Source organism: Homo sapiens, chromosome 16 (genome assembly GCF_000001405.40).
Source record: "Homo sapiens chromosome 16, GRCh38.p14 Primary Assembly".
Taxonomy (NCBI): domain Eukaryota; kingdom Metazoa; phylum Chordata; class Mammalia; order Primates; family Hominidae; genus Homo; species Homo sapiens.
The window spans coordinates 66,474,196-66,495,634 of NC_000016.10; the positions used below are offsets into that span (position 1 = coordinate 66,474,196).

At 54.1% G+C, this 21,439-nt stretch overlaps 2 protein-coding genes and 1 long non-coding RNA gene across 8 annotated transcripts in view, besides 7 other annotated features; 1 reads left to right on the forward strand and 2 right to left on the reverse strand.

Annotated features, from left to right (window-relative positions):
* Nucleotides 1-2,207, reverse strand: part of BEAN1-AS1 (BEAN1 antisense RNA 1) — a 6,607-nt gene extending 4,400 nt beyond the window's left edge. Inside the window, exons 1-2 of the long non-coding RNA NR_109960.1 lie at nt 2,069-2,207; nt 1,407-1,483 (exon numbers count right to left, since the gene is read on the reverse strand). This is a non-coding gene — a long non-coding RNA (BEAN1 antisense RNA 1). The remainder of the gene's footprint in view (nt 1-1,406; nt 1,484-2,068) is intronic.
* The window catches only part of LOC124903698 (uncharacterized), a 19,348-nt gene extending 7,261 nt beyond the window's left edge, over nt 1-12,087 (reverse strand). The window contains exons 1-4 of the mRNA XM_047435016.1: nt 6,969-12,087; nt 4,813-6,224; nt 3,749-3,922; nt 1,407-1,483 (exon numbers count right to left, since the gene is read on the reverse strand). Coding sequence (XP_047290972.1) covers nt 10,349-10,954 — 606 coding nt within the window. The 5' untranslated portion in view covers nt 10,955-12,087 and the 3' untranslated portion in view covers nt 1,407-1,483; nt 3,749-3,922; nt 4,813-6,224; nt 6,969-10,348. The remainder of the gene's footprint in view (nt 1-1,406; nt 1,484-3,748; nt 3,923-4,812; nt 6,225-6,968) is intronic.
* BEAN1 (brain expressed associated with NEDD4 1) overlaps nt 1-21,093 on the forward strand; it is a 67,994-nt gene extending 46,901 nt beyond the window's left edge. For 4 of the 6 annotated variants that reach the window (NM_001178020.3, NM_001136106.5, XM_011522884.2 and 1 more), the window contains 2 exons: nt 3,365-3,515; nt 6,391-8,638. In NM_001178020.3, coding sequence (NP_001171491.1) covers nt 3,365-3,515; nt 6,391-6,730 — 491 coding nt within the window. In that variant the 3' untranslated portion in view covers nt 6,731-8,638. Of the gene's footprint in view, nt 1-2,528; nt 3,242-3,364; nt 3,516-6,390; nt 8,639-8,682; nt 8,721-18,766 lie in introns of those variants that run through there. The other 2 variants (NM_001197224.4, XM_011522885.4) reach the window with 2 other exon arrangements.
* Nucleotides 2,278-2,377: a silencer, noted in NCBI's record as "silent region_7558". NCBI's record gives its function as "represses an Ori minimal core promoter by ATAC-STARR-seq in GM12878 lymphoblastoid cells {active_cell/tissue: GM12878}" and the evidence as "EXISTENCE:reporter gene assay evidence [ECO:0000049][PMID:35858748]".
* Nucleotides 2,883-3,424: an enhancer, noted in NCBI's record as "H3K27ac-H3K4me1 hESC enhancer chr16:66510981-66511522 (GRCh37/hg19 assembly coordinates)". NCBI's record gives its function as "activates a minimal SCP1, AML or CMV promoter by ChIP-STARR-seq in naive H9 embryonic stem cells {active_cell/tissue: H9 hESC(naive)}" and the evidence as "EXISTENCE:reporter gene assay evidence [ECO:0000049][PMID:30033119]".
* Nucleotides 3,965-4,505: an enhancer, noted in NCBI's record as "H3K27ac-H3K4me1 hESC enhancer chr16:66512063-66512603 (GRCh37/hg19 assembly coordinates)". NCBI's record gives its function as "activates a minimal SCP1, AML or CMV promoter by ChIP-STARR-seq in naive H9 embryonic stem cells {active_cell/tissue: H9 hESC(naive)}" and the evidence as "EXISTENCE:reporter gene assay evidence [ECO:0000049][PMID:30033119]".
* Nucleotides 5,587-6,126: an enhancer, noted in NCBI's record as "H3K27ac-H3K4me1 hESC enhancer chr16:66513685-66514224 (GRCh37/hg19 assembly coordinates)". NCBI's record gives its function as "activates a minimal SCP1, AML or CMV promoter by ChIP-STARR-seq in primed H9 embryonic stem cells {active_cell/tissue: H9 hESC(primed)}" and the evidence as "EXISTENCE:reporter gene assay evidence [ECO:0000049][PMID:30033119]".
* Nucleotides 9,962-10,942: an enhancer, noted in NCBI's record as "H3K4me1 hESC enhancer chr16:66518060-66519040 (GRCh37/hg19 assembly coordinates)". NCBI's record gives its function as "activates a minimal SCP1, AML or CMV promoter by ChIP-STARR-seq in naive and primed H9 embryonic stem cells {active_cell/tissue: H9 hESC(naive and primed)}" and the evidence as "EXISTENCE:reporter gene assay evidence [ECO:0000049][PMID:30033119]".
* Nucleotides 10,755-10,824: a silencer, noted in NCBI's record as "silent region_7559". NCBI's record gives its function as "represses an Ori minimal core promoter by ATAC-STARR-seq in GM12878 lymphoblastoid cells {active_cell/tissue: GM12878}" and the evidence as "EXISTENCE:reporter gene assay evidence [ECO:0000049][PMID:35858748]".
* Nucleotides 13,605-14,105: an enhancer, noted in NCBI's record as "H3K4me1 hESC enhancer chr16:66521703-66522203 (GRCh37/hg19 assembly coordinates)". NCBI's record gives its function as "activates a minimal SCP1, AML or CMV promoter by ChIP-STARR-seq in primed H9 embryonic stem cells {active_cell/tissue: H9 hESC(primed)}" and the evidence as "EXISTENCE:reporter gene assay evidence [ECO:0000049][PMID:30033119]".

A 21,439-nucleotide genomic window follows, 5' to 3' on the forward strand; every position in this document is an offset into this window, starting at 1 on the left:
AAACAGTTATTGTGAGGACTAAATTAGCACAGCACCTGGCTAATGGGTAAATACATGCTCAATAAATGTGAGCTATTTTCATCATCTCTTTCTCCAAGAAAACCTGCTCCCAGGCCACTGCACTAATGTCAGCTGTCCCTGCCTGCCAGCCACCAGCCTGGCACCTCCAAGGCATTCTCCACAAGGCAACCAAAGTGACAGGACTGTGACCACTTCCCAATGGCTCCCCATCACCCTCAGGACAGAGTTGGCCCTCTGCCTGCCCACAGAGCCTTTCTGTAGTCTAGCCAGACACAGAGAGGAGCCACAAATCTTTGAGAATGAGATGGGGGTGGGGGAGGAAGAAGAAAGAGGGAGGGAGAGAGGGAGGGAGAGAGGGAGGGAGAGAGGGAGGGAGGGAGGGAGGGAGAGAGGGAGGGAGGAAGGGAGGGAGGGAGGGAGGGAGGGAGGGAGGGGAAATAGAGAAGAGAGAAAGAAAGAAGAAAGAGAAGAGAAGAAAGAAGAGAGAGAAAAAAAGGAGAGAAAGAAAAAGGAAAAAGAAAGGAAAGAGAAAGAAAGAAAGAAAGAAGAAAGAAAGGAGAGAGAAGGAAAGAAAAGAAAATTCTGTCATTCTGTTCCATCTTGAGCTTTAAGAGAGATCTGGTGGCTGACTCTGTCTCCTGTCACTTCTGCAGGTTTAGAGCAAGTGACTTCACTCTCGGTCTCTTCATCTGGTGGAAGGGGTAACCACTGCTCTCCTCCCACAGTGGGGTGTGAGGTAGATGAGATCATAGAGATTGAGCACAGCAGGTGCTCATGAGTGCCAGTTCCTCTTCCTCCCTCTCCCAGAGCCTGTCAAGGGGCAGTGAACTTGGAGTGATGTTAAATAATGAACCAAGGTATCGGGGTAAACAGGAGGTTTCAGCTTATGTGAAGTGGGAAGCAGGGCTTCCGGAGTCCTGGACTATTTGGATCTGTGCCGACAGGGAAGTCAGGAGAGAAGGGAAAAGAAGGGATTTGGGAAGTTCAAATGGGAGTGGCGGGTGCAGGTTTCTTTCCAGCTGTCTCTCAGGAGCTCTGCCCAGCTGGATGTCTCAGGTTTGGGGTCTGAGCACCTTAGGGCAGCCTCAGTTTTCCCAAGATGCTCCCCTCTGGGAAGTCCAAGAAAAAGCAGCCCAAGAAGAAAGGGTAGATAGCAGTTTGCTCCAGCTCTAACAGCCCTCAGCGCTGCCCACCCAGTCACTCCTCTCAGGTCCAGGAAGCAGCCCTGACTTTCCCCAGGGATCCCTGTGTGACAGGCACACCTGCTGCCCTGCAGGTGGAACCCTCCCTGAACCCAAAAACCCTTCCCTGGCAATGCTGGCTGGTGGGGCGAAGGGGTACCTGGCACCCAAGCCCAGCAGCCCTGGTTCAACTTCCAGTCTCACCTTGTTGCTGTGTGCTGTTGTCTTTTCTTAGTTTCTTTCCTAAGTTCTTCCAAAAATTCTGTCTCTCAGCTGGTGCCCTGAACAGGAGAAACAAATGGCATTTCAGCTCCTTTTTTACAGCATATGTTATTGACTTCATTTCTCCTAGTAGAAAAGTAATGTGTGTTCATTATAGAAAACCTTAAAAATATAGACAATATAAGAAAAGAAATATAAAGAAATAAATAGGCCAGGCGCGGTGGCTCACGCCTGTAATCCCAGCACTTTGGGAGGCCGAGGCGGGCAGATCACGAGGTCAGGAGATTGAGGCCATCCTGGCTAACACGGTGAAACCCGGTCTCTACTAAAAATACAAAAAATGAGCCGGGCGTGGTGGCGGGTGCCTGTAGTCCCAGCTACTCGGGAGGCTGAGGCAGGAGAATGGCGTGGACCCCGGAGGCGGAGCTTGCAGTGAGCTGAGATCGCGCCACTGCACTCCAGCCTGGGCGACAGTGAGAGACTCCGTCTCAAAAAAAAAAAAAAAGAAAGAAAAGAAAAAAAGAAAAAGAAATAAGGGTCATGATCCTCTGTCATCTGGACAGGGCCACCATCAACGTGTTTGGAATATTTTCTTCTGAGAGCTTTCTCGGTGTCGGTATATAACCCTGGGATTGGAATTGTACCTGCAGATAGAGTTTCATATCCAGATTCTTCCACTCACTATTATATGAAGAGTGGGAAAAAGAGTTTAGGGGAGTGGGAAGAGCAGTCTTTGGGGTTATACAGAGTGCATAAATTACAACTCCATGCTTCACCACGTATGTGACCCTGAGTATCAGCTTCCTTGTCTGTAGAATGGGGATGGCAACTGCGCCACTCACAGCAGAGAAAGGTTATAGCTCCGCCCCTGATGCCAAGCCCCACCCCCAGAGGGGAGGAGGCACCTGGGAGCCCTGGACTGAGGAGACCTCGTGTCTCAGCCACCTTTGCAGCTCCCACTGTTCCCATCCAGGACGATACATGTCAGAAACTGGGCTGTAGAGAGCTTAGCAAGGAGGAGCCAAGACATCCAGCTGCCCTCTGGCCCAACCACTCACTGTGTGTTGTCCTCCAGCAAGTCACCGGGCCTCCCAGAACCTCAGCTGTGGAATGAGAGGATTGTGCTCCAGCAGCATTTCCTAAACAGTGTTACTAGGTCTAAGAAAGGAAGATTCTGAGGTCGAATGCTGGACAGGCACAGTTAAATGTGTTTTTTAGCTGCAGGACTTTTCAGAGCCTTTGATGTCCTGGTGCATGGTAAAAAATGCAGAGGAGAATGCAGTGTGGGGAGCTGCCAGACTCATCATAGAAGCCCCTTTTTTTCCCCAAGATACCTAAAGGGCAGTGAGTGTGGGAGGGCTGATCCCAGAGTTCTCTGAAGCCCTCATTCCTTGCTACTCTCCACCGCATTTTCCATGCCCAGCCCAACTCCACAGCTCAAAGCTCCCTGTTCACACCACACTCTTCTTTCTTATCTCCCTCCTTGGAAAGCTATTCAGTTCCCTCCTCCCGGCCTTCCCCTCTTCCCCTGGTTAAATCCTAGACAAGACTCAGCTGTAGCAGCCCCTCCTCCAGGAAGCCCTCCCTGACTTCCAGACTGGTCAGGCCTGCCTTTACTCCCACAGTCCCAGTAGGACCTCTACCAAAGCTCATGACACACTGCCTAGTGCCAGGTTATCCCCAAAGCAGGCTGCCACCACCTTGGGAGCTGGCCAGGACAGGGCCAGCTCTGCTTCCTCTCTGTATCCCCATGCCCAACACGACAATGGCACCCACATTCTGGAGCTGTCACTGATGGATGAAGGCAGCTGTGCTTGGTGAGGAGAGGAGTGGTCAGGTGGGGAATCAGAGCCTCCATGGCCCCAGGTAGACCTACAGACCCATAAGGACCATCCCTGGATCCTGGTCTGAGGCCCAGGCCGGTGGTCTGTTCCCTGCAGTGTCGGACGAGCACACATACAGCCGCTCAAGCCGCAGGATGCGCTATGCCTGCAGCTCCTCAGAGGACTGGCCCCCACCCTTGGACATCAGCTCTGACGGGGACGTGGATGCCACGGTGCTCAGGGAGCTGTACCCAGATTCTCCACCAGGGTAAGGAGGCCTCATGGGGAAGGGGGCATCAGAGGATGGGGCCCTGGACACAAAGACCCCCCAACTCCATCATGGGAAAGAGTGGCACCTCTGCATGTCGTATAAATGCAGAAAACATCTGCTCAGTGGGCATGGCCACCTCCTCCCCACTCCTGACCAAGTAGGTCCCACTGAGGCAGTGTGACTTAGCAGATATCACCTGGAAGTGCTAGGAAAGGAAGAGACAAGCCCACCTCCTCAGGCTGTTGAGTAGGCATGCCGGGAATGCCCCTGCAGTTTCAGGGGAGGTTCCGTGGCAGCTGTTCTGAATTCCCTGGGGATCTGCTCCTCCGGGTGTCTCCCTCAGGGTGGGAGGGAAGGCCAGAGGAGTATCTGGCTATTTCCGTGGCTGTGGGATCAACTTCCCCCTAGGGAAAAAAAACTGTATTGTGTTTCTATAAATAACACCAGGGACTGGGGGGTAAAGAGGGGACAAGCCCATATGCTGACATCTGATGGCCCCAGGTGCACTCGCTCTGGAAATTGTTTCTTGTATGATCATGAGCAAGTTACTTAATCCCGCTGTGCCTGCTTCTCCATTGTGGAAATGTCCATGTAATAATACCTGCCCCAGCCGGGCGTGGGGGCTCACGCCTGTAATCCCAGCACTTTGGGAGGCTGAGGTGGGGGATCACGAGGTCAGGAGATCGAGACCATCCTGGCTAACACGGTGAAACCCCATCTCTACTAAAAATACAAAAAATTCGCCGGGCGTGGTGGCGGGCGCCTGTAGTCCCAGCTACTTGGGAGGCTGAGGCAGGAGAATCGCTTGAACCCGGGAGGCGGAGGTTGTAGTGAGCTGAGATCGCACCACTGCACTCCAGCCTTAGCGACAGAGTGAGACTTCGTCTCAAAAAAATAATAATAAAATAATAATAATAATATCTGCCCCACAGGATACTCATGAAAATGACACAGAAGTGCCAGTAAAATGCTCAGCAAGGCACTGGCTCTTCCCACCAGTGGTGTCGTTACTATTTCGAGGCCACAGGTGATAACTATCATGCTGAGGAGGACGAGGGGAGGGGATCAGGGAGGATGGGCTGACACAGGAAATCGGCCTTTGTCAAGGGTGTGTGGTGCTTGGGTTGGGAGGAACTGGGACCTTCAGAGATACAGAGGAGGGTGTGACCAGCAGAGGGCACAGATGAGCAAAGGCCCAGAGGCAGGCGAGCACGCGTGTGCCACGCTACAGAGGGCACAGTGGGGTTTGACCTCCTCTCCCCTTCCCCTGCCCTGGCTTTCCAGTCATACCCACCTGGGTTTGAGCCCATCCTGGACGCCGCCCAGGTTGATGCTCTCAGGCATGTCACTGTGGCTCTCAGGGGCTCCATTTCTTTGTTTATGAAATAAGGACAAATAACCCTGCTTCCTGGGTTTTCCTGGGAAGGAAGATACTGTGGGTATCTGGGGATGTGGCTCAGGGTTAGACCTGAGCCCTTGGTTCCTGAGGCCATAGCCTGAGGACACAGGCACCTCCCCCATCCCCAGCTGCCTCTGCCCGGTGCAGCTCATCTAAAGGACAGGAACAGGTGGGGCTGCTTCTGATGGAGGTGGAGGTGCACAGATGCCCTGGGGGTGCCTGGGAGCCAACTTCTCCCTGAGTCAGAGCAGAGGGTTGGGTTGGCCTCAGGCACGAGGGGATGCCCCAGCTGCAGGCCTCCATTGTGGTCAGGCACCCCCAAGGCTGGTTGGGTCCAGTGCCTGGACAGGGCTGGGTAGGCATGAGGCAGGGGTGGAGAGGGGTGGGGAAGGTGGGGGCACGACTACGAAGACAGAGGTGATTCCCCCTCCAAACACACACACACACATACATGCACACACGAACACATACACGCACACACCTTCCGAGACCTCCCAGGCAACAAGGGTCTGGCTGAGCCTGGGGTCTCTGTGGCCTCACCTGTAGCCACTGAGGCAGAGACTGGCCTTAGGGATCAAGACGGGTTCCTCTCAGAGAAGTGGGGGGTCATGGAGCCAGAAGGAGGGAGTTATGCCCTCAGCTCCTGAGGACCCCAGAGACAGTGGCAGTGGGAAGAGAAAGGACAGGTGGAGCTTGTGGCCAGGAGGGCCCTGTGCCTGTGATCATGCCCACAGGAGTGGCTGTGTCCAAACTGCCCTCAGGGCCCTCAAGCAGCCCCCTCCCCATGGGGAGCTCTTCTCTGGAGGGCTTTTGTTCCTCTCCTGCCAGCCCCCCTCAGGCAGATCACCCATCAGTACTCGAAGAGGGAAAGGGGTCAGGGCCTCCACCATTCCCTGCTAGGAGACCCCTCCAGCCCTGGATGAATGGCCCGTGTCCTCCTCCTTGGCCTTCCACCTTCACCCCTGCCCCAGGGGCTCGAGCAGGGGTGGTGCTGCCAGTCCTTTCGGGGCAATGGGTGCTCTTTTGCTCTGCATCTGTGGGTTCAGAGGGGCCCAGGGGACTCTTTCCTAAACTGAGAAGGGGAACTTTGGAGTGGCTGGAGACCAGGGTGTCTGGTAGCCTGAGGTTGGTCCTACCCAGCCTCTGCACACCCAGTGCGCTGCGGGGAGATGCTCCCTAGACAGTGGCCACTGCTGTTTCGAGGCACCGCAGACCCAGGCAGCTCAGTGTTCATGCGTTGAGCTCACACCGCATATGAGGGCTGAGTCAGGTCCCAAATCCAGGTCCCAGGGTTCTGAGGTCCCCCTCTGGAGATGGAGGGAAGTAGCAGGGTTTCATTGGAGCCAGCGTGGACAAGGCCCACCCTGGTCCACAGCCAGGACAGCTTGTCACTGCAGATAGACCCCCAGGCCTTTGGGAGAGACCCAGCCCTAAGGCCTAGGTGGGGCACTGAGGGAGCCTCTTCTCTCGTAGCTACGAGGAGTGTGTGGGGCCAGGGGCCACTCAGCTGTATGTCCCCACGGACGCACCACCACCCTACTCGCTGACTGATTCCTGCCCCACGCTGGATGGCACCTCCGACTCAGGCAGCGGCCACAGCCCTGGCCGACACCAGCAGGAGCAGAGGACCCCGGCCCAAGGTGGCCTTCACACGGTCTCCATGGACACCCTTCCCCCCTACGAGGCTGTGTGCGGGGCTGGCCCCCCATCAGGCCTGCTGCCACTGCCGGGCCCAGACCCAGGGCCAAGGGGCTCCCAGGGCTCACCCACCCCAACCCGGGCCCCAGCCTCTGGCCCAGAGAGGATTGTGTGAGGGACCCAGCCAGCCGGGTCCTGCTGGTCCCTACAGGCTGAACCACATTCTTTAGGCACACAAAGGCGTGCACACACACACAGAGATGCACACGTGACTCATAACACACACATAGACCAAACTTGTATACACACAGACATCTACACTGACATACCCCATGTACACACACAGATCTAGACGTGCTCCACATATGTGTGAATATGCGCACATACAGGCCTACCACAAACACAAAACCCACCTGCAAAGGTTTCACGGAACGTGGAGCTCTCCTGGCCTCCCGTCCCTCCTCCCGGCCTGTTTGTTGTGCCTCTGTAGAGAGCGCTTCGGAGAGAGAGGCGAAGTAGGAAGTGGGATTTTCTCTTCCCTCTCCTGGGCCCGTTTGCCCCTACCCTCGCCCAGCAAGCTGCGCCCAAATTCTATTCTGCCTCTGGAAACTGCTGGACCATCCAAGGTCAGCTGCCTGCCCTGACCCCTACCCCAGGGCCAGCTTGTCCTCCTGGGAGGCGGGACAGGCCCCAGTGAGGTTCCGTTGTGCGCTGTGCCTATCTCTCGATTCCAGGGCAGATGAGCCACAACATCACCACCCTGCCACTTACAAGGTGGGGGACCTGGGTCTGGGGTCTCAGGCGCAAACTGGAGGCCCTCACAGCCCACTAGGCCCCCTCCCAACCCCAGTACCCTCAGTCCCTCAGTCAGGTGGTGCTAGTAGAGCTATCTCTGACGCTGCAGGCCCCAGGTAGATGGGCAGGGCCCTCCGTGGGTGTGCAGCGGCGGTTCCCTCATCAGTCCAGCCACTGCCCAGGACTAAGGGTCTTCAAGGAAGATGAGGCCATTGCCCTTCTCCAGGTGGCTTCACCACAGTGCTGCCTGGGCACCTCTCTGAGGCAGAGAAGTGGCCCCTCCCTCAGTCCCTGCCTGGCCGACCACTGTGGCCTGCACGCGAATGGGTCAGAGCCAGACCCCGGAGCTGGTGCTGTCCTTCTAGGTGGCTGCTCATAGCTGGGGATGGTGAGTGGCTGTGTTCTGGCCTTGCCCACGTGGGTGTTTGCAGAGACAAAATGAAGGGGATATGCTCCCCATAAATACCACCTTGCCACCACAAGAGGACCAGAAGGCTACTCAGCCTTGCTGCCACAGAAGGGGATTTGTAGGGTCAGCCTGGCTGCAGAAAGGCTGGCTCAGATCTTGACCAAGAAACCCCAGCGATTTCCATCAAAGACCACGCAGGTAACAGAGGTGATTCCTGAAGACCCAGCCCACAGAGGGTGGCAGCCAAGCATCTCTGAGCAGTGTCCCTGCTAGCATCGCCAGCGGCCATCACTCTGCCTCCCTCCCACCTCTTGTCCCTCGTCGTTAAAAAACAGCACCCTATCCTGCTTCCCCACATTTCTGTTCCTCCAATGAAGGGCTAAGACTATTTAGTAATCTCTTTCTTAAGCAGAGGAGTGGCAAGGATGGCAATCTTGAATTTTATTTTCTGTAGAGATAGCATTTCTTCTGGTGCGGAGCTGAAAGGAATCCACCCAGAAGTTCTGTAGCATCCTGCGTGCAGCCTCCTGGAGCCCCAGACTCCATCTGGGGGAGGGACTTGTTTACAAGCAGTTCTGACCACCTTAGTGGTGTACTGTTTTCTAGGCAAAAAATATCTGTCTGTTGTACTGTATAGCCTTTAAAATGCAGTCCAGGAATGAGACTCTTTTAAGAAACACATCCTGCTTCTGCAATTCCAGAGAGTGCTGGGGGAAAAAAAGGGATAAAAATTCCTACCTACTCATCAGTGTTTGAAAGATGGAGCTGAATAGCTTTTCTTGTTCCTGGACTAGGCAATGAATAAGCAACAATGTATCTTTTCTGTGTTCAAAATAAATACATAATATCAATAAAATGTAGCAAGAAGTAACACTTTCAGAGAGTGCATAAGGTTCCTTTTTTTCTTTTCTTTTTTTCTTCAGACAGGGTCTCACTCAGTCGCCTACGCTGGAGTGCAATGGTATGAACATAGCTCACTGTAGCCTTGAACTCCTGGGCTCAAGTGATCCTCCCACCTCAGCCTCCTAAGCAGCTGGGACTACAGGCATGCACCACCATACCCAGCTAATTTTTGATTTTGAATTTTTGTAAACACAGGGTCTCACTATGTTGCCCAGGCTAGTTGAAACTCCTGGTCTCAAGCGATCCTCTCACCTCAGCCTCCCGAGTAGGGTTTATACCTTCTGAAACTTGTAAGAAAAGGAAACACTAAATAGCAACAAAATGAAAATACACCTCCGGCTAGCAATCTCTACCCATTCATTACCTCTCAAGATTAAGCACCATTGAAGCCTTGTCATTTTCCTGTTGATGTGGATATTTGGATAGTCAGTGCCTTACAGGAGTTGCTTTTTTTTTTTTAACCTCACTGAAACTTGGCATCATTTCTCTGAGACATGGCTGGTGTAACGTCATGAGGATGGGCCATCAACTTCAGGACCTGACTCTAGGAACTTCAGAGACTACACGTTTTACTCTAACAGGAGTTGGCTTGTAGCACCCTGATGGCTTGTACCACCAGGAAAGAGAGGAAAGTGGCAATGAAACTGAAATGAGCTGTTGTCTCACCCTCTGCAGGAATTCCCCTCTTCCTTTCCATGCCCTCCACAACACCATGGCTTGGGCTATTGATCTCTTAGCGGACAGAGCCTGGGCCCCTTCCTCTGTCACATTTCCCTCCCACCAGAACTCCAATAGAGCCCACTAACATAGTCCTAGATGCCCCCAAGTGCCTTGAAAGTGGGGTGCAATCCAAAATTCGAATAGTCCATTAATATAGTCTTAGACCCCAAGTGCCTTGAAAGTGGGGTGCAATCCTGAAGGAGGGTGCAGCGGGGGGAAAGACCACGAGATAGGCTCATCCTTCTGGTTCTCCAGCCCACGTCCCTGCTGGACAGGCCAAGGCTGGCTCTGCTGCGCCTATCACCCCCACCCTGAGCCCACACTGCCACCTGCCGGCTCGCTGCTGCCACTGCTCAAAGTGAACAAGTCAGGCCCTGAAGAATGAGGAAGCCCCTCCTCTCACCTTGAAACACAATACCCACCAGCACTCATAATTGCAGACAAAACCCGTCATTTTAACCCTGGGCTTTTCTTCCACCCTTGAGATGTTCTATGAGGTTGAACCCATTCAAGTATTCCATTTTTGGGGCTCACCCCCGCCCCGCCAGCATCACTCTCTGGACAAAGCCTGACACTTATGTCCCCCTCTCTGTAAGCAAAATAATCATTTTGCATGCCCTCTGTTCTGAACATCACTAGGCATGGCTCTGGTGCCACCTCAGTGCTCTGGGGCTCCACCTCCTGGGAATGAATGCAGAAACTTCCACAGTGATGGTGTCCAGCCATGTGCTGCCCCCAACCGAAACCACCCCACACCGACACCCAGCTCCCACCACAAAGACTTAGGATCCCACAGGCCTTTGGGACTGTCACGCTCTTGGCTTTTCCTGCTCCTCCATCCACGACATGCCCTATGCTGTGGTGTGTCACATATGGCACCACATTCAAGGTCCTTTGCACATTCCTAAGGAGATGCCGCCTGTCTGTGCCAGGGGCCAAGGAGAACACCCCAGGTACCTGGGCTCATCAGAGGCCCAAGGAGATGGAAGGTGAAGCTGCATCACAGGACGATGGAGACAGGGGCCCCAGGGCCAGACCCTGGGATGAGGATGTGGGTGAGAGTTTGGTTAGGGAAGTGTTCCCAGGAGTACCAGATGGAGTGAGGCAGGAAACAAGAAAGGCAAGGAAGCCAGTGAGGGGGTCACCAAGCAGGTCACCACTGCAGGCCACTGAGCGCAGTCCCACTGGTGACTCTGAGACACAGAGTAGAACGCACCTCAAAGTGACGCCCGCCCTCAGGTGGGAGAGACGGGTTGTTTGTACCCTGATGCTCAGCAGACATTTTTGGAGGCTGCCCTTTGGAGAATGTTCATTCCTGCCCCTTGTGGAGGCCAAATGGGCTCCTCTGGCCAGAAAAAAGTCTTCAGGGGAGTCACCGTGCTGGCGATGACGCCATCGTGATAGTCCACAAGAGCCATCATTGGGTCCCCGTGTATGGGTGTGGTGAGGTCCCAGGTCTCTGCAAAGGGCTCCAGCAGCTGCTGCCACACACAAGCAACAGGCATCGCCCAGAAGAGGGCGGAAGGAGGGTTGATACAGAGTAAGGCTGTTCACAGCCACCACGAGGAACATCCATTGTCACACTGGCCAAGCCCACATGCACATACACACACTGGGGCCCCTCCCAAGTTCCTAGAGATACCCCTGGCACACACTCACATGTAGCATCCCTCAGCTCCACCTCCTGTGGTTTCGTGGACATTTGCTCAGACAGCTTTGGTGCACACACACTAGTGCCCTTCTCACTTAGAGCTTGTGCACGTACACACTTGGTGTTGCATACTCCAGTGCCACTGACACTCCCACTCAGCTGTTCCTATCCATGCCCACCTGCATGTCCAGGCTCTTGGCATGAGCGGTGGAGAGACAGTAAGCTTCATCGTCTGAGGAAGTGAATCTTCTGTCCTGGTCTCTGCTTTGCTTCACCCCACATTGCACGTCCTCGGGGCCAGAGGAACTCTCTGGAGCCCAGGACTGGTTGCCTAGATCAGGCCGGGTATCTCTGGGCTTGGGGGCTGGGCAGATCTTTACCCCCAGGGTGGCAGCCCAGTTGTGCCAGCCCAACATGTCTCCAAGAAATCCAAGGTTGCAGGTCCTCAGGCCCTGCCGTCCCCACCTCAGCCATGCCACCACTGACCATCTCACCAGCATGACTCCTGGGGGCCTGGGGCTGCCTGTCTCTCTTCCACTGCCAGTGGCTGCCTGGTCCACAGCCCACCCCAAGGCTGGCACCATCTGAACTGTGTGGTGGAGTAGAAGAGCATCCCTTGAAAAGGACCCTCCACTCCCTGCCACTCTGAGCCTCATTATCCAACTGCAAGAGTCAGAAACCCAACTTGAATCTTCATGAGCAAGGAAGAATACTTACTGAATTGTCCAAGTCAGGCATGGCTGGATCCAGAAAGTCCGGGAATATGGGCAGGTATGTCATCTCTCTCTGGATTCTGCTGTCCACCACAGTGCCTTCATTCTCCCATCAGAACAAAAGTATGGAAGCCCCAAGTCTACTTTGGTTGGTTCATAATCCAAAACAAAGAGATCCTCTCTCTCCCAGAGAGCAAATACCAAGTCTCAGAGAAAACTGGCCCAGACATGTCCTCATCCCTGACTCTCTGAATGGCTGGGATTAGGGTCTCTGTTGTTTGTTTGTTTGTTTGTTGTTTGTTTTTGAGTCAAAGTCTCACCCTGTCGCCCACACTGGAGTGCAGTGGTACGATCTCGGCTCACTGCAACCTCCGTCTCCCAGGTTCAAGCGATTAGCCTGCCTCAGCCTCCTGAGTAGCTGGGATTACGGGCATTCTGAGTAGCTGGGATTACGGGCACATGTCACTGCGCCCAGCTAAATTTTTGTATTTTTAGTAGAGACGGGGTCTCACCATGTTGGCCAGGCTGGTCTTGAACTCCTGACCTCAGGTGATCTGCCTGCCTTGGCCACCCAAAGTCCTGGGATTACAGGTGTGAGCCACCGCACCCAGCCAGGATTACGGTCTCTGGCTGACTGAGCCTGGGTCATGCCAAAGCAGCCCTTGCACATCTCCCATGCCTCCATCTCCCCTCCCTGCCTGCCACTCTGTGGAGGGTGGAAGAGGAGGAGCCACATTCATCTCTCCTGGAATGGGTTCTGCAAAGAAAAGAGGGGAGGAGGCTGGGAGGACTGGAGACACACAGACGAGCAGCCTCTGCCATGTTCCCTTGACAGGGACAGGCCCTACCCCTCAGATCTCAGTCTGAGCGATGACCCCAAGCCACAGATAGACAATGAGCTGGGCAGTGAGTCAGGGCAGGTGCTGGGGCAGGGTCAGGCGGAGAGTGGTTGCTAAGCAGGGCCCATAGCAAAGAAAGGAGGAAAGAGCAACAGCCTCCAGCCAGGCCTGAGGGCTCCAGGCTCACTGGACACCATCTTGAATCTGTGCCAGCTCTTTCTCATGGTTGCCATAGCAGGGAGGGGGCTTGGACCAGAGAGGCCCAGATCCACTGCCCACTGGGAGGGGCCCCAGCCAGCTGCAGGGAGCCAGCTGAGCTCCACACTGAGGGCAGTCTGTGACTTGTGGACTTACAAGACTCTTCCAAGGAATACACTCACCCACAGTGCATGGTTACACAGTTTTGTTCCTGAAGAGGAACATAAATTTGGGCAAAAGGCCAAGGTATGAATCTATGCAACTGGGCCTGAGACTCCACTCCAGGCACTGACTTCTCCCTAGGACAATCGCACCATGGGCTCCTGCCTCTTCTCCTCCTTACAGCCCTTCCCTTCCTGGGCTGTCCTCAAGGGCCTGAGTTATGCCTCCCAGACTAGGGGCCTGGAATTGTGGCCCAAGCTGACTCCTGTCCAGGTGGTGGGCCCAGCACAGAGCCCAGGAGGGTTTATGGGGTAATCAGCAGGAACTCCCAGCTCAATTATGAGAGAAACAGTGCTTCCTGCCAGTCACACAGACTTGATGACAGTAAGTGCTGAGTTCCAGACCTGGGACCCTCTGCCCAGCCAGCATCCCCATCCAGCTCCTCCTCCTCACCCTCTGCAGAGTAGGCACATGACTCAGGCTCAGCCCGCCAGAGACCCTGTGGCCTCTGAGCAACTAAGCTCTGCAAGGAACCTGGGAGCTGCTGTGAGTGAAGGCTGAGTATGGGGACCCAGAGGTCTGGCTTCTCTGCTTCTGTCATCAGCTCACTATGTGAACTTGAACCAGGCCTCAGGACCCCCATGCCCCATCAGCCCACCTAGGCCAAAGCAGCCCCTGCAGATCTCCCATGCCTCCACCTCCCCTCCCTGCCTGCACTGTTCCCAAAGTCAGTCACACTGACGGGCAGAGAGAGCAGGTTCTCACGAAATCAGTCACTCCCCCAAGGACCCAGAAAATGTGAACAATGCAATTAACACCAAATCCAACTGTTGAAGGAGGCTGCAGCGAGCCAATGGGGAGAAGCAAGGCTGACTCCAGCATGAGAGGGCAGGGAAGGGGTGATTTTAGGCACCATGCCCAGCGTTCTCACCCTCACTGTCTCAGCCACCCTGGGAAAGATGAGAGTGGCTGGCAGTTCACAGGCATGACAGGTTCCCCATGAGGGGAATGGAGGACTAAGATGTCCAGAATGAATGTAGTTAGTAAGCAACCAAAAGCAATAGAAGAATCACAGTGGTGGGGCAGGGGGGTGGGGGCCTTGGAATGTACCAATATGTGGAATTTTAGCTATTAACAAGAAAAAAACAAAGGCCATTCTAGGCCTCTCCCTAGGGAACAAAACTGCCTGGGGTCGAAGAATGAGAGAAAAAGAGAGAACCTTGGCCTGGTGACTATACTCTTCAACACAACTCAGGGAGGCCAGGTGTGGTGGCTCACACCTATAACCCCAGCACTTTGGGAGGCAGAGGTGGGAGGCTAGCTTGAGCTCAGGAGTTGGAAACCAGCCTGGGCAACATAGTGAGACCTTATCACTACCAAAAAAAAAAAAAAAAAAAAAACTGTTTTAATTAGCCAGATGCTATGGGGTGTGCCTGTAGTCCCAGCTACAGGGGAGGGTGGGACAGGAGGATTGTTTGAGCCCAGGAGGTCAAGGCTGCAGTGAGCTGACTGTGCCACTGTACTCCAGCCTGGGCAACAGGGTGAGATCATATCTCAAAAAACAAAAAACAAAAACAAACAAACAGAAAACTACACTGCTGGCTTTTAAGATGGAGGAAGGGGCCCTGAGCCAAGGAATGTAGGTGGCCTCTAGGAACTGGAAAAAGCAAGGAAATGAATTCTCCCCAAAGGAACAAGCCCAGTGAGACTGATTTTGGACCTCGGTCTGACCTTTAAAAGTATAAAATAGGCCAGGCAAGGTGGCTCACACCTGTAAGCCCAGCACTTTGAGAGGCCGAGGCAGGTGGATTGCCTGAGGTCAGGAGTTCGAGACCAGCCTGGGCAACATGGTGAAACCCTGTCTCTACTAAAAATACAAAAATTAGCTGGGCGTGGTGGCGGGCACCTGTAATTCCAGCTACTTGGGAGTCTGAGACAGGAGAATCACTTGAACCCAGGAGGTGGAGGTAGCAGTGAGCCGAGACTGCACTGTTGTACTTCAGCCTGGGCAAGAAGAGCGAAACTCCATCTCAAAAAAAAACAAAAAAAAAAGTATAAGTTAATAAATACTTCTTCTTTTAAACCACTAAACCCGTAGAAATTCACTGCAGCATCAATAGGAAACGAATACACTTGGGTTCCAATCCCAGCTCTTGCTCTCCCTGCCTCAATCTCTTGGTTCATAAGATGAGAGGAAGGCAGATTTGGACAAGTGATGGGCAAAGGCCTCTCCAACCCTCTTTGACCCCAGGCTGTGATCATGCCAACTCTTAGCATTCTCTCACATGAATCTGCCCTGGGCCTTACCTGTGTCTTCATTTCAGAGGGAGGTAGACAGGGAAGCCAAGGGGTGGCCACGTTTGACCCTGGACCTAACATTTCTGATGTTCAGGATCAGATGAGCCCATGTGTGTGAATGAGTAGCACCCACAGTGTTGTGGGTAGTGACTATCTGGAGCCAGTAGTGTGGGTGGTAAAGGAATCTACCAAGACAGTTGTGGATACAGAAAGGCAGATTTATTAGAGAAGGTAGGAAAGAGAGAAAATATGTTGCAAGGTTGCAACGGGCAGCACAGCAGAGACAGGGCTGTCTGCACAGAGGCAGAGGCTGGAGGGAAGTTTTATAGGATCATGCTGGAGGGGGCTACATACAGAAAGGGGTTGTGCTGCTGAACTATCACGGTGCTACTCCAGGGGGATCTATTTTCGAGTAGAACTCCAACTGGGATGCAGTTTCTCAATCAAAGGGATATGAACTGCCCTGGCCACTGAATTCAGAGAACATTGTAGGGGGCAGGGGAGTTGGGAGCAGGGAGCAGAGATCCCAGCTGTGACGAGCCCAGGTCTGAGGCAGCTCCAAGACCAAGCACCCAGGTGGCTGTCCTTCCTGGCGACTGGAGAGGCAGGAGCCCAGCAGAGTCTCATAGAAAGCAAATGACAATCAAGACCCAGGTCCTCAGCCAGATGCGGTGGCTCATGCCTGTAATCTCAGCACTTTGGGAGGCCAAAGTGGGCAGATCACCTCAGGTCAGGAGTTTGAGATCAGCCTGGCCAACATGGTGAAATCCCATCTCTACTAAAAAAAAAAAAAAAAAAAAAAAAAAAAATTAGCCAGGCATAGTGGCACATGCATGTAGTCCCAACTACTTGGGAGGCTGAGGCAGGAGAATCGCTTGAACCCAGAAGGTGGAAATTGCAGTGGGCCAAGATCACGTCACTGCACTCCAGCCTGGGCAACAAAACAAGACTCTGTTTCAATAAAATAAAATAAAATAAAATAAAATAAAATAAAATAAAATAAAATAAAATAAAATAATAAAATAAAAAGAAACCTCTAAATTGATTGAGATCTGCCTCCGACACTTTTCAATTTACAAAAACATACCTAAGAATTGGCCACCCAGGGGCAGGAAGCTGGGGTTTCTATCCAGTAACTCTCACCCCGCTGGCCCTTGGTTGGTTGAGGGTCGCCACCTTCCTGGCGCTTCCAGCCTGTCCCGCACACTAGCAGAGTATGCCTCTGCAGCCAGCAGCACTCAAGGCATGAGGCATTACTGGGGATATCTGGATGGGATGGTAGTGTGGAAAGATGCAGATGCTGATGTGCCTGGTCTTCATTTTTTGTGGGGCAGGGGGACAAAGAAAGGACAAATCCTGACCTAGGCCCTGCTCCACTGGGAGGGGCCCGGTCACCCTCCAATCTCAGCTTTTCAGAGTGACAAGCAGTGGCAGGGCCTGGCTGCACATAGCTTTATCTCTTGCTAGCACAACTTCCTCCTTTGCTTCCAGATTGGGCTTTGGAGCAGGAGAGGCAGGACCCATCCATTCCTCCAAGTGCCCAGCCTGAGCCTGGCCTGGGACAGGACTCTATCCTCCATATCCAGCCCCCCCGAAGCCACCATGAGCAGGTCCCAATCCCCAGGCCCAGGCGAAGCTGCTCTGGGTGAGACCCTCCTGGGCAACATCATCAGCTACTACCAGGAGAGAGCAGGGGAGGGCCGGCTCGATGTCTGCAGGCAAGCAGCCCTCACCCACAGGGCCAGGTGGCTCCTGGGCAGGAGGGCCCCTCCATGGCTCTGTCTGCCAGAGGAAGTGGCCCTTGCTCTGGGTGGCTGCTGTTGTGGGGATCCCAGCCCTGTCCCAAAAGTCAGCCCTGAGCTGGTGCATGCACTAGAGTTCCTGGAGCTGATCTCTGTCAACCTGCTTCTGTTTCCCTGGAGGAAGGAAATCAGGTCCCTAAAGGTAGGCACTGCCACATGTCTGAGCAAGGGGGATTCAGCCAGGGGTTGGGGCTCTGCCTCTGGGAGAAACAGCATGCCCATCATATCCATTGACTTCAGTCCCATTTCAGTTTAAGAAATTGAGGGCTAAAGAGACAGATGCAACTTATCCATGGTCAACAGCTAGCAAGTGGTACAACTGCTCCTAACCACGAGACCAGCGGTCCCCAACCTTTTTGGCACCAGGGGCCAGTTTCACAGAAGACAATTTTTCCACAGACAGGGTGGAGGGATGGGGGCGGGGGTTAGTTTCAGGATGAAACTCTTCCACCTCAGACCATCAAGCATTAGATTTTCATAAGGAGCACGCAACCTAGATCCCTCTCATGCACAGTTCACAATAGGGTTCCACTCCTATGAGAATCTAATGCCACTGCTGATCGTGACAGGAGGCGGAGCTCAAGTGATAATGCTTGTTTGCCCGCCACTCACCTCCTGCTGTGCGGCCAGGTTCCTAACAGACCATAGACCAGTACTGGTCCAAGGCCTGGGGATTGGGGACTCCTGCACTGGACTGTTACTGCCTCTCCGAGGAAAGATGAACCAAGGTGCTCATAATAAACAACGGGAGGAGTTGGGCTTTAGAGAGCTACCAGAGAGGTTTTGTTTTTTTGTTGTTTTTCATTTTGTTTTGTTCTTGAGACAGAGTCTTGCTCTGTCACCCAGGCTGGAGTACAGTGGCGCGATCTTGGCTCACTGCAACTTCTGCCTCTCAGGATCAAGCGATTCTCCTGCCTCAGCCCCCTGAGTAGCTGGGATTACAGGTGTCCACCAACACACCTGGCTAATTTTTGTATTTTTAGTAGAGACGGGGTTTCACCATGTTGGCCAGGCTGGTCTCAAACTCCTGACCTGAAGTGATCTTCCTGCCTCGCCCTCCCAAAGTGCTGGGTTTACAGATGTGAGCAGTCACACTCGGCCCCTACCAGAGTTTTAATTTCTTCCTGCTCCAGGCCCTGACTGCTAGGCTGGGAGCTGGGATACCTAGAGCCTTACCCCAGCTCAGTCACTCTCTTTTTGCGTTTTTTTGTTTTTTTGAGATGGAGTCTCGCTGTGTGGCCCAGGCTGGAGAGCAGTGGTGCAATCTGTCCTCACTGCAACCTCCACCTCCTGGGTTCGAGCAATTCTCCTGCCTCAGCCTCCCAAACAGCTGGGATTACAGGCGCCTGCCACCATGCCCGGCTAATTTTTTTGTATTTTTAGTAGAGAGGGGTTTCACCATGTTGGCCAGGCTGGTCTCGAACTCCTGACCTCAGGTGATCCGCCCTCCTTGGCCTCCCAAAGTGCTGGGATTACAGGTGTGAGCCACCACACCCAGCCACTTTCTGAGTGTCTTTGGACAGATCCTGCTTTGTCTTTGAGCCTCAGTGTACCCCTGATCATGGGCCAGGCTTTCCTTTGGCCAAATGCCCTCATCCACGTGCTTCTCAGGAGCCCCTGGTGTCCCTCGGCACCAGCCCTTGGTCCTGCCTGGCCTGGCCCCTCTCAGCCACTCTGCTGAGGCCTGTCCCACTCCTAACAAGCTCCCTTGTCTGTTCTAGATGTACACTGGGAGCTTTACCTACTGGGTGCGATCTATGCTTTCCAGACACAAACTGGACGCCATCCTGGGCAGGCTGGGCTACACGGCCACCTTGGAGTCTGAGTTCTCACTGGTCCAGGCCATCAGCAAAGAGAATGTCAAGCAGATGGTGTTCAAGATCTTCCTGGTGAGGGTCTCATGTGAAGCCGTTCTCAGAACCGCGGGCACACGGATGCTTGAGCCGGGCACAGAGAAACTCGCTAGGACCCACAGCAGGCACAGCTCAGAGAAAAGGCTGGTGAAGCCCTGCAGCTGCCTCGAGGGGGTTCAGCCAGGCCCAGGTTCCGGGGGACCACAGCAAGGTCCCTCAGAAGGGGTGGGGTCCGAGACGGCCCTGGCAGAGGGCACTGCTGGCCAGAGATCTCTGCCCATGGCTCTGAGCCCATCTGAGGTCTCAACAGCCCCCAACAGCCTCCCCAGTGGCTCTCCAGTCCTCTAGGGCCCCCAGTGCCATGGCAGCACATGCCTGGACAGTGAGGAGGTCCTGCCTTGCTTCAGTGACCCTGTCTTACACTGGATGCCCTGGTTTCCCAAGGACATTTTCCTGAGAAGCCTGAAGGGAAACCAACTCCCAGGCCCAGCCCTGGCCCCTGGCCCTTCATCGGGTGAGGTGGTCACCGCCTCAGGGTGCAGCAGGGGGCAGCCCCTGGTCTCGGATGCAGTTCCTGAGAGCAGAAAAGTCACCATTCTCAGCCAGCTCTGCCCGACACCAGGTCCCCAATCTCCAGGGCAGCCCTTAGACCGGAAGCCAGAAGCATAGCTGGAGCTGGCCAGCCCCAGAATAGACGCCGCACCTCCCAGCACCTCTTCCGAGAGGAATGAGCTCTGTGAGTGCTCCCTCACCTTCTTGGTCCCTCAACTCCTGCAGGCCATCCTAGAGGCATCCCACGCCCTGAGGTGGAGGAAGATGGACAACTAGGGCCTCTTGTGGGGCCAGAGCCAACTGGTGATGACGGCAGCCCAGAAAGTGGAGTCACTCCATTCTGGAGGTCTACCCAGGCTCCCCTGCATGGATGAGAGCACCCCAGCACCCACTATACCCCCAGTGGGGGCTGGTGGCACCAGTACCCACCCAAAGACACCATCCCAGCAATAGCTGAGGGAGTGATCTCTCGCTAGTACAGGGCAGGCACCCTGAATAAGCAAATAGCTCTCACTGTGATGTCCACCAGGAGGTGACTGCTGGGAGAGGTGCTAGACCTGGGATCACAGCACAGGAGGAGAAGCAGGGCACGGGGGAAGAGTGGCCAAACCTATGGCTTGCTTGTGAGGCATAGGAGCCAATCTGCTAACCCCAAAAGGTCTCAAATTCCAGCCCTGCCATCGATGGCTTGTGTGACCTTGGGCAACTCACTCCACCTCTATGAGCCTCGTTTTCCTCATCTGTAAAGTGACTATGGTCAGACCTCCTTCCCAGGAGGCTGGGAAGAGTTAGTGAGGTGAGGTGTGCTCAGTGCCCATCAGAGACCGACCCAGAGAAGGGCCCCTCCCTTTAGGTTTTCTGTCCTCTTCATGTCCCAGTTCAGTTGTGTGACCCTGGGTAGGTCATCCTGCAGCTCTGAGTAGCCGCTTCCCTCAGCAGCCTTCAGACCCATTTCACCTATCACAGTGCAAATAAAGAGGGCATAGATGTGTAGACAACTGGATGTGTAGTACACCCTTAATCCATCTAGGATCCACTACTGGCCTCCCTTTTCTTTCGGCTAATTTGTTGGGAGCTCAGGGTCAACTCTCATGCCTGCTCTCCATCCAGGAGCGGGGGCACCCCCTCTACCTGCCATCTCCTGCCCCTTTATGTACACATATACATGCACATGTGCACACAAATAGGTACATTCAGGTATGGCACATGCACATACACATGCCCTTAGTCATTCCTCATTGGGATCCCAACAGAGGGCATCCTCCTCCAACCAGGGGCTTCTCTATGTGGTGGCAGGTGTCACTAACCCAGGGACGGCCTCTAGGCTTCCCATCTGTGAAATGGGAAAAATTAAATAGGTGAAGGTCCCTTCAGGGTGCAAAGCAGGTGTTTAATAATTGTTGGTACCTGCCTTTGCTCTCCCTGAAACTGAGCATATAACCACACCACTTTCAGTCCTTAAGACCAAGGGGGGGCCTCAGGCTGGAAGGATTTTAAAAGCTTTGGCTCCACCTGCATCCAAGTCAGACAGCAGTCCTAAAACAGCCCCTACACAGGCTTTCTGAGACACAAATCAGGAAGCAGTATGCACTGGGCAGCACAGGGCACGCTGGTTATCACCCACTCATCCATCCAACCATCCATCCCTCCCTGCCTCCCACCCTCCCTCCTTCCCTTGATCCTTCCTTCCTTCCTTCCCTCCATCCAACCATCCATCCATCCCTGCCTCCCACCTCCCTCCCACCCTGGATCCTTCCTTCCTTCTTTCCTTCCTTCCCTCCATCCAACCGTCCATCCATCCCTGCCTCCCACCTCCCTCCTGCCCTTGATCCTTCCTTCCTTCCTTCCTTCTTTCCTTCCTTCCCTCCATCCAACCATCCATCCATCCCTGCCTCCCACCTCCCTCCTGCCCTTGATCCTTCCGTCCTTCTTTCCTTCCTTCCCTCCATCCAACCATCCATCCATCCATCCATCCTTCCATCCATCCAT